The 10,613-nt window shown below is 53.7% G+C and overlaps 2 pseudogenes across 9 annotated transcripts in view; both read left to right on the top strand.

Moving 5' to 3' along the window:
- Positions 1 to 8,094, top strand: part of LRP5L (LDL receptor related protein 5 like (pseudogene)) — a 53,991-nt pseudogene extending 45,897 nt beyond the window's left edge. For 6 of the 9 annotated variants that reach the window (XR_007068026.1, XR_007068027.1, XR_007068028.1 and 3 more), the window contains 3 exons: positions 2,086 to 2,257; positions 4,700 to 4,916; positions 7,610 to 8,094. The product of XR_007068026.1 is annotated as an LDL receptor related protein 5 like (pseudogene), transcript variant X1 (transcript). The remainder of the gene's footprint in view (positions 1 to 2,085; positions 2,258 to 4,699; positions 4,917 to 7,609) is intronic. The other 3 variants (XR_005228030.2, XR_007068032.1, XR_007068031.1) reach the window with 1 other exon arrangement.
- On the top strand, positions 8,903 to 9,968 carry PHF10P2 (PHF10 pseudogene 2; annotated as a pseudogene).

The following is a 10,613-nucleotide window of genomic DNA, read 5'->3' as shown; positions in this document are numbered from 1 at the left end:
ATTTCCAGGACGACAGTAGTGGTAGTAAGGGCAGCCTCTGTGACACTGACCACAGTACAGGCCAGGCCTCTTTTTTTTTTTTTTGAGATGGTGTCTCACTCTGTCGCCCAGACTGGAATGCAATGGCACAATCTTGGCTCACTGCAACCTCTGCCTTCCGGGCTCAAGCAATTCTCCTGCCTCAGCCTCCCAAGTAGCTGGGATTACAGGTGCCTGCCACCGTGTCTGGCTAATTTTTGTATTTTTGCTAGAGATGGGGTTTCTCCATGTTGGCCAGGCTGGTCTCGAACTCCTGACCTCAGGTGATCCACCTGCCTTGGCCTCCCAAAGTGCTGGGATTACAGGCATGAGCCACCATGCCTGGCCAGGCCAGGCCTCTTTTAACACTTTGCACACCATGGGTCTTTTCATCCAGGAGGGTAGGTAGTTATACAGTTGAGGACAGTGAAGCCCAGAGATGCTCAGGGACTTGGCCAGGGTCACACAGCAGGAGGTGGCAGGTGTGTGGCTGGGGCTGACAGCATGGCTCCAGCTTTCCAGCGTAGAAGTCTGTGAAAGCAGAGAGCTTGTCGGTTGGTTGAGACCCCCCCCACAGCGGCTCAGATTGCTGTAGCCAGGGGCCTTCCTGGGGGCTCATAACCCAGAACACTAAATGGGCAGACCCTGAGGGAGGAGGTGCAGTGGAGCTGGGGGTGCCGATGGGAAGTCCCGGAGGAGCTGGGAGGTCAGTCGCAGTGCTGCTCTCTGTGGAGCACTTAGTAGGCACCAGGTGTGTTTCCAGGTTCATGGCTCTGGGACCCGAAGCTCAGGTGAAGTGACTTGCCCAGGGTACCCAGCGGGCAGAGGATTTGCAGGCTATGAAGCCTGCGCTCATGGCCTGGCCCTGGGGGTTGCCAGTGTGCTGGCTGGGGAGCTTTTCCTGCAAGTGAGCTGGTGTCTAGAAGCCAGCATGTCAGGCAGCAGGCAGCGGGAGCACAGTAGGCAGATGGTGGGGCCCAAGCAGCCCTCCATGGACCCCAGGGCATGGCGGCACGTGGAAGAGAGCTGCTCCATGTCGGTGGCTGACGGGCTGGGTTGTGCCCCGAGGAGGGCGGATGATGGTAGGAAGTGGGGTCCCCCAGGGCTTTAGCAAGAGGAGGCACAGGAACTGGTTGCCAGCTGCAGTGAAGGGAACATGGCCCTGAGGTCAGGAGCTTGGTCAAGTCACTGCCTCTATGGGCCTCAGTGTCCTCATCTGTGAAAGAGGAAGGGACGGGGAAGCCAACTCCAAGGTCCCTCCTAGCCCTGGTTTCATGAGTCTGAGGATCCCAGGGAAATGGGGCTTGGCAGTCTGACATGTGAGGTCATGGGGTCTAGGGAGGGGCACCGAGCTGGAAGTGGGAGGCAGAGGGGCTGGCCGGCTGGGTCAGACACAGCTGAAGCAGAGGCTGTGACCTGAGGCCCCAGAACCTCCACCCCTGAGCTGCCACCCCAGGATCTGGGTTCCCTCCTTGGGGGGCCACAGGGAACAAGTCACCTGTCCTTTGCACAGGGGAGCCCTTCAGCTGTATGCAGAAGATTGCGCTCTGCCCCTTCCTCCCTCTGGGTGCTGAGCTTCTTCAGCCCACCAGTCAGATGTGAGGCTGCCCTAGACCCTGGGCAGGGTCATTGCTATCCACTGACGTTTGAGATGGGAGATGAGCTCCTGGCCCCTCAGAGTCCTAAGGGCTGGTGCAGTGAAGCCTGCACAGGGTGGAAGTGGGCACCACTGTCCCAGGGGAGCCCCCAGGGACTCTGGTCACTGGGCTTGTGGCTGGCATGCTCAGTCCTCCAGCACTTACTGACACCAGCATCTACCAACACCAACATTTACAAACACTGACATTGACCAACACTGACAATTACTGACACCGACATTTACCAACACTGATATTGACCGACGCCGACATTTACCTACACCAGCATTTACCAATGCCGATATTTACTGACCCCAACATTTAGCCATGTGATGGGGGCCGGCTCGGGGACGGGCCTTGCTCTTAGCAGTGGGGGTGCCACAGAAACTAGACAGATGCATGGGGTCATGGACTTCTGCTTCTTCTCCAGCCTCACGTACTGGATAGACTGGGGAGAGAACCCTGAAATCAAGCGTGCCAACCTGGACAGGCAGGAGCTGCGCGTGCTGGTCAATGCTTCCCTCGGGTGGCCCAACGGCCTGGCCCTGGACCTGCAGGAAGGGAAGCTCTACTGGGGAGATGCCAAGACAGACAAGATCGAGGTGAGGCTCCCATGGAGGTATTTGATCCTGGAGGCCTGGCCCTGCCCGGCTGTCCCTGGGCTCCTAAGAGGCCAGGCCCGGCCACCCCCTGCAGCCTGACATACGTATCACCAAGGCACCAATGGGTGCCTGTGCTCTGCTATTTGGCCAAGCGGAATGCTTGATAAAGTAGTTACAGTACTTTCTGACAAAAACGCCTTGAGAGGGTAGCGCTATACAACGTCCTGTGGTTACGTAAGATGTTATCATTGGGCCAGGCGCCTGTAGTCACAGCTACTTGGAGACTGAGGTGGGAGGATCACTGGAGCCCAAGAGTTTAAGGCCAGCCTGGGTAAAGGGGACACGGGAAACCTCTGCACTGCTTTTGCCACTTACTGTGAGCCTTAAACTATTTCACAAACAATACAAAATCAAGACAAAAAATTAATAACATATCCACTGCCCCCACTTAAGACATAAAACATGAGTGTCATTGAAGCCAGAGGCAGCCATTGGCCTGAGTTTGTTGATTCGTTCCCAAGCAGTTGAAGACAGTTTTGTTTTTCTGTGGATGTCTGTCTCTTCTCCCTATGCTGGGTGCAGCCCTGCATTGCCACTGTGGTTGGATTTCAGTGGCCTTGTCCTGTGGGCGTGCTTTGGCAGCTTGCTTTTTGCTCACCTGTGGAGCTTCTATTGAGCTTTTGTTGTTGTTGTTGTTGTAGTTGTCCAGGCTGGAGTGCAGTGGCACGATCTCAGCTCACTGCAATCTCCACCTCCTGGGTTCTAGCGATTCTCCTGCCTCAGCCTCCCGAGTAGCTGGGATTACAGGCGCATGCCACCACACTCGGCTAATTTTTACATTTTTAGTAGAGACGGGGTTTCACCATTTGGCCAGGCTGTTCTGGAACTCCTGACCTCAAGTGATCCACCTGCCTCAGCCTCCCAAAGTACTGGGATTACAGGCGTGAGCCACCGTGCCTTGCCTCTATTGAGCAGTTTTTTTGAGGTGCTCTTGGTGCCAGTAATATGTTACATGTGTCCCCATTGCACATTGTCACCCATCGAGGTGACATTGGTGCCTCTCCTCGGGGTAGTCGCCTCCCTTTGTTCCCAGCAACTTCTGAAGGATTTTCCTGAGCCTCATCAGTCCTTGTTGACGTCACCATCGGGGTCACCTTTGCTCTCCTCAGGGCTCCCAGGGGAGGCCCGAACCAGGCAGCTTGCAGGGGAGGGTGGGATGGAGAACACGAGTGTGTGTCTGTGTTGCAGGATTTCAGACCCTGCTTCTGAGCGGGAGGAGCCTCAGCACCTTCAGGGTGGGGAACACCCAGGGATGGAAAGGGCTGAGTGGATGCCCCTCCCACAAAAACTCTAGAAGCTGCAGATGTGGCCATTTCCTGTTGGAGCTCCTTGTAAATGTTGTTTTTTTTTTTTTTTTTGGCAAGGCCCATGTTTCTGGGCCGCTGAGGATGATTTGCCTTCATGCATCCCCCCTACCCATGGGAGCAGGTCAGGGACTCACTCACGTGTCTGTGGCACGCCAGGCCACAGGTGTTGTTCCTTGTACTGTTGCAGCAGTGGTTTTCTTGAGACAGGGTCTCGCTCAGTTGCTCAGGCTGGAGTGCAGTGGCGCGATCACGGCTCCCTGCAGCCTCCATCTCCTTGGTCTCAGGTGATCCTTCTGCCTCAGCTTCTGAGTAGCTGGGACTACAGACACACACCACCATATCCAGCTAGTTTTTGCATATTTTTTTGTAGACATGGGGTTTCGCCATGGTGCCCAAGCTGATCTGAAACTCCTGAGGCACAAGTGATCCACCTGCCTTGGCCTCCCAAAGTGCTGGGATGACTGACAGGCATAAGCCACCACACCAAGCCCAATGATTTTTTTTATTGTGATAAAATAAACATAGCACAAAATTGATGATTTTAACCATTTTAAAGTGAACAATTCAGGCCAGGGACGGTGGCTCACACCTGTAATCCCAGTACTTTGGGAGGCTGAGGCAGGCGGATCACCTGAGGTTAGGAGTTCCAAGACCAGCCTGGACCAACATGGTGAAACCCCCCTGTCTACTAAAAATACAAAAATTCACCGGGTATGGTGGCAGGCACCTGTAGTCCCAGCTACTTGGGAGGCTGAGGCAGGAGAATCGCTTGAACCCAGGAGGTGGAGGTTGCAGTGAGCCGAGATCTCACCACTGCACTCCAGCCTGGGCAACAGGGAGAGACTCTGTCTCAGAATCTCAAAAAAAAGAAAAGAAAAAACGTCATTTATCCAGCACCCCTGGAGAGCCGTGATACCTGGCGTTTTATGGTACCTGGCAAGGTGCAGGTGAAGTTGAGGCTCCTGGGTGTTGAACCCGTCTCGTTTGGGGCAGCTCAGGCCCGAGGCAGGGTCAGGGTTGGCTCTCGTTGGCATGGCCCTGGCCCATCCAGACCTGTATCTTTGCCATTCTGCAGGCGATCAGTGTCGATGAGACGAAGAGGCAGACCCTCCTGAAGGACAAGCTCCCACACATTTTCAGGTTCACCCTGCTGGGGGACTTCATCTACTGGACCGCCTGGCAGCACCACAGCATCAAGCGGGTACACAAGGTCAAGGCCAACCGGGACGTCATCATTGACCAGCTGCCCGACCTGATGGGGCTCAAAGCTGTGAACGTGGACAAGGTCGTCGGTGAGTCCAGGGGGGTGGGCCCCAAGCCGTTGCTCAGCTGCAGACTTGCATGAGGAAGAAGTGACAGTTCCAAACCTGGGCATAAGTGTTGAGCTGGGGTGCCCTGCCCTGGGGAAGGGCAGGACAGGAAAGGTGACAGTATCTGGCTAAGGATAGATGGGAAGGGACCAAGGGTGCTGATTAGGGAATGGTTATGGACTAGGAGTATCAGTAACAATGGTTAGAAAGTGGCTAACATTTGTTGAGCACCTGCTGTGTGCCTGGCCCCGGCTGGGAGCCTTCGTGCCCAGAGTGACCCCGTCTGAATGCAGTTCTTTGCCTCATTCAAACTGGGGAGTGGGAGGCAGAGCTGCACAACTCACAGGTGCCGAGCTCAAGACTCACTCCTGGGTCTGCCTGGGCTGGGCTGTGCTTGTTGCCCCTGTGGCCAACACACGCGCACCTTTCACCTGAAAGCCAGGATCCGCAGAACGTTCCCCGAGGAGGTCGTTGTTTGGCACTATGATTTGTCTCTTCCTAAAAAGGTGATAGAGTTACACTGGAGAGAGCAGCATCCAGGTGCAGCAGGGATGGGCCTGGGGCTCACGGGCAGGGGCTCTGTGTCCGGCTGGGGCCTGGGGTCCTGCGCTGCACCTGTGTGTCAGAAGCACTCAGTAAATCTTTGCTGATGAAGGATGAGAGGATAGAGGACATGATGCTTGCTGCTGCATTGCCTGCAATCCTGGATGAGATGCCCAGGTTGGCTTTGCTCCCCGTCGGGTGGATGTGATGTTAGCTGTGATGTTAGGTCCCTGGCTTTAAAATACGAGGGAGCTGGGAATTGAGGGAGCAGGTTGGGGCAGAAAGGACAGCCCCGCAGAGGCCTGGAGCTGAGGCAGTGCGGGCGACCCCAGGAGCAGTGAGTGCTTCCGTCACAGCCTTCATCGCACCCTGTGGTCCTCATAAAGGGGATGGAATCTACGAATTTAGTTTTCCCAGCCTCCTTAAAAACTCATTCATGCCAGGGGCAGTGGCTCACACCTGAAATCCCACCACTTTGGGAGGCTGAGGCAGGCTGATTACTTGAGGTCAGGAGTTTGAGACCAGCCTAGCCAACATGGTGAAACCCCGTGTCTACTCAAAGTACAAAAAAAAAAATTAGTCAGACGTGGTGTCACGCACCTGTAATCCCAGCTCTTTGGGAGGCTGAGGCAGGAGAATCACTTGAACCCAGGAGGCAGAGGTTATAGTGAGCCAGTATTGCGCCACTGACCTCCATCTGGGCAATAGAGTGAGACCCTGTCTCAAAAAAAAAAAAAAAAAAAAGAAAAAAAATGCATGAATGCCAGGTGCAGTGGCTCACGCCTGAAATCCCAGCACTTTGGAAGGCTGAGGCAGGAGGATCACTTGAGCCCAGGAATTTGAGAGTGTCTCTCCTGGGCAACAGAGACAGACCTCATCTCTACTAAAAAAATAAAAATTACAAACAATTAGCCGGGCATAGTGGCATGTGCCTGTGGTCCCATCTACTTAGGAGGCTGAGGTGGCAGGATCCCTGAGCCTGGAGGCAGAGGTTGCAGTGAGCAGAGATCATGCCACTGCACTCCAGCCTGGGTGACAGAGTGAGAACCTGTCTCAAAAAAAAAAAAAAAAAGCATTCACTATCCACCATGGAAGGTGAGACTGACCCACTGTGAGTGATTGTTCAAAGAACAAAAAATAATCCCCAGAGATAAGACAAAAGGGTGCATCCATGGGGCTGTGATTTAAATCTGAGAAATTGGGCTTCTTTCCCCTCCCCTCTCACCCCATGGTTTACTAAAGGAGATGAACAAAAGGATTCTTTTTTTGGCTTAAATATTTAATACTAAATTAAAGCCAGTTTTAACAGCACTTCGGTTGATGAGATTAACAGACTGGCCAAAAATAAATGAACACACTCTGTACTGTGTGAAAAAGAGGCAGCTTTGGCCATGCTGGGTGAATGTGAGTTTTCAGGGTTGCTGGGAATGTCTGTGAATCAGAAGAAGGGCCTAGGTGGGAGTCTCAGGAGCCGAGACCCCAAGGGGTGACTTACCCAGTCCCTGCCCCAAGCCGTTACCGTGTTCTTCCTGGGTCGGAGCACAGGCCAGGAGGCTGGACCACCAGGCTGGCATTCTCGCTGAGCTGCTCCCTGACTTCCTGACCATGCTCCCTTCAGCAGCCTCTGCACTTTAGTTTCCTCGAATGAGAAATGGGGATGAGAATAGCTCCTAACTCCAAGGTGGATGGAGTAAGTTCGCACAGGTTGAATCCCTGGGATCAGCGCCTGGAGCCTGACAAGGTCCAGTCAGAGCCAGAACTGCTGTTACTGATACTGACCCTTGGCCGTACCAGGGGAGAACTTGGTTGCCATTGCCAGGTGTTCTCCCACCACGCCCAGCTACTGTCCCTGTTTGACATGTGGCTGGAATAAAGCTGTGCACGTTGCAGCTTTTGGCACATCCTGGCTTTGAGGTAAAAGGTACGTGTGTGTTTGAGGGTTGAGCCTGGCCATGGGAATGATAATCACAGCCCAACCCAGCCGTGAGGTCGAACCCTACCTAGGGGTGAGTCCTGAGCTTGACACCCCTGAGCTGTGCGGTTCACGGTGGCATTCATTGTGTGGCTTGGCTGCACCCCTTTCCCTGCTGGGCTGTTGGTGTTTAGATCGGAGCCTGTGTGTTCACTTCCAGGAACCAACCCTCATGCGGACAGGAATGGGGGTGCAGCCACCTGTGCTTCTTCACGCCCCACACAACCCGGTTTGGCTGCCCCATCTAGGGCCTGGAACTGCTGAGTGACATGAAGACCTGCATCATGCCCAAGGCCTTCTTGGTCTTCACCAGTAGAGCCGCCATCCACAGGATCTCCCTCGAGACCAACAACAACGATGTGGCCATCCTGCTCTCGGCGTCAAGGAGGCCTCGGCCCTGGACTTTGATGTGTCCAGCAACCACATCTACTGGACAGACATCAGCCTGAAGGTAGCGTGGGCCCGAACATGCACACGTGCAGCCTATATGGGAAAACCTTCCCTCTGTACCTGCCTCAAAGGTTTCAGACATTTTTCTTAAAGCACTATAATATTTATTGTAACACAATTCAAGCTAATTAAATATGAGCAAGCCTATTTCAAAAAAAATAGACGATTATAATGAGCAAATCCGGTAGACACACATGACGGCTTTTGTGAAATGCTTGTGTGAATGTGAAATGTCTGTTGTCCGTTGAGCTTGACCTCAGACACCCCACCCGCTGTCTTTCCAGTGCCCGTTTGCTTAGCACTCTTTCTTCATTTATAGTGCAAATATAAACATCCAGGACAAATACAGGAAGACCTTTTTTTTTTTTTTTTTTTTTTTTTTTTTTTTTTTTTTTTGAGACGGAGTCTTGCTCTGTCGCCCAGGGTGGAGTGTGCAGTAGCATGATCTCAGCTCACCGCAACCTCCACCTCCCAGGTTAAAGCGATTCTCCTGCCTCAGCCTCCTAAGTAGCTGGGTTTACAGGCATATGCAACCACACCCAGCTAGTTTTTTTAGTAGAGACAGGGTTTCACCATGTTGGCCAGGCTGGTCTTGAACTCTTGACCTCAGGTGATCTGCCCGCCTTGGCCTCACAAAGTGGTGGGATTACAGGCGTGAGCCACCGTACCCGGCCTAGAAAGACTTTTTGCCTTCTAAAGAAGGGTTTAGGGGCACGCTGCTAGCTAGGGGGAGCTGTGGCCGAGTACAATGCCGGGCGTGGGGAGCCAGGCGGCCCCGGGGCTGAGGCGAGCGAAGGGGCTGAAGGGAGTCACGGTGGTGCTGAAGCCAGTGGCGCAGCTGTGCGGGGCAGCGGCGCTGAGGAGGTGGCGGTGGGGCTGAAGTGGAGCTCGGCAGCCTCCGGCCTGCACCAGGCACCCTCCCAGTCTTGGGCGCCCTGGTGTGCAGGCTGCAGCCATGGCGGTGCCTGCCCCTGGGAGGAGGGGGCGGTGTGGGGGGGTCCCAGCGGCCACCAGGAGGAGGCGGAGGCAATGGCGGCAGGAACTGGGGCTGAGCTGTCCCCGCTGCGTGCCTGCGACAGTGACCCAGCCAGCCCCGGAGCACAGTCCCGGAAGGATGATAATGAAGATAATTCAAATGATGGGACCCAGCCATCCAAAAGGAGGTGAATGGGCTCAGGAGGTAGTTCTAATAGTTATGAAACTTCAAGTCAAGATCTTGGCTTTAGTCACTATCCAGCAGAAAATTTGATAGAGTACAAAAGGCCACCTGATGAAATAGGAGAATACTATATGCTTCAATAACAAGTCAGTGAATATTTGGGTGTGACCTCCTTTAAAAGGAAATATCCAGATTTAGAGCGAGATTTGTCTCACAAGGAGAAACTCTACCTGAGAGAGCTAAAGTCATTACTGAAACTCAGTGCATGCTAGGTATAACAGCATTGCGCAGTGATGAAGTGATTGATTTAATGATAAAAGAATATCCAGCCAAACATGCTGAGTATTCTGTTATTCTACAAGAAAATGAATGTCAGCGAATTACAGACCATTATAAAGAGTATTCCCAAATGCAACAACAGAATACTCAGAAAGTTGAAGCCAGTAAAGTGCCTGAGGATATTAAGAAAGCTGCCAAAAAAGCAGCTGAATTTAACAGCAACGTAAACTGGGAACGCATGGAAGAAGAGCTTATTTTGACTTGCAGACACATGTTATCCAGGTGCCTCAAGGGAATTACAAAGTTTTGCCAACAGAGCAAACAATGATTAGTTCTTACCCAGTGGGTCTCATCCCCTGACAGTTCGACAGTTTGAGGAATATTATAAAAGGTACTCACCAGATGAGCTCTGGTACCTGCCATTAAACACAGCCCTGTATGAGCCCCCCTCTGGATCCTGAGCTCCCTGCTGTAGACAGTGATTCAAATGATGGCGAAGATGGTCGAGGTGACGAAAAACGGAAAAATAAAGGCACTTTGGATAGCTCCTCTGGCAATGAATGTATCTGAAGGGGAAAGCCCTCCTGACAGCCAGGAGGACTCTTTCCAGGGAAGACAAATCAAAAGACAAGAAGAGAGACTGTTATCACCCCCCGTACAGATGAGGAAACTGAGGCCCACTGAAGGGAATCAAATTTCCCAAGTTCAAGGGCTGATGAGGGCTGAGCTTGGGCAGGACACTTTGTCTGACCCTGTGGCTGGGGCTCCCACAGCAGAGGCTCCACTTGGAAGAACACGCTCTGGGCTCCTGCAGGCCTTTGCCAGCTGCCCTCCCTCCTCCTAGCCGTTCAGGGGAGGGGTGGCCATCGGGCTCTGTAGCCCTGACTCGGCCTTACTCTGCTCTGAGGCCTCTTTTCTGCATCCCTGAAATGGGGTCAGAGCAGGGACAAGTACTCCCAGGGGACCCCAGTGCCACAGCCCCCTTCTCCCATGGTGCATGAGCAGGCACACTTCAGGTCTCACCTGGGGCTGGGCTAGGCCAGGTCTCACCTGGGGCTGGGCTAGGCCAGGTCTCACCTGGGGCTGGGCTAGGCCAGGTCTCACCTGGGGCTGGGCTAGGCCAGGTCTCACCTGGGGCTGGGCTAGGCCAGGTCTCACCTGGGGCTGGGCTAGGCCGATCCTGCCTTGCCTGGGACATCAGGAGCTGAGGGTCTATATAGGTCAGGACCCAGGAGGCCTCAGGGGGCTTGTGGAAGGATGGGGGTGTGTGTATGGA

This window comes from Homo sapiens, chromosome 22 (assembly GCF_000001405.40).
Source record: "Homo sapiens chromosome 22, GRCh38.p14 Primary Assembly".
Taxonomy (NCBI): Eukaryota; Metazoa; Chordata; class Mammalia; order Primates; family Hominidae; genus Homo; species Homo sapiens.
Note: the sequence above shows the minus strand (reverse complement) of the source record. Positions and strands in the feature narration are given on the sequence as shown.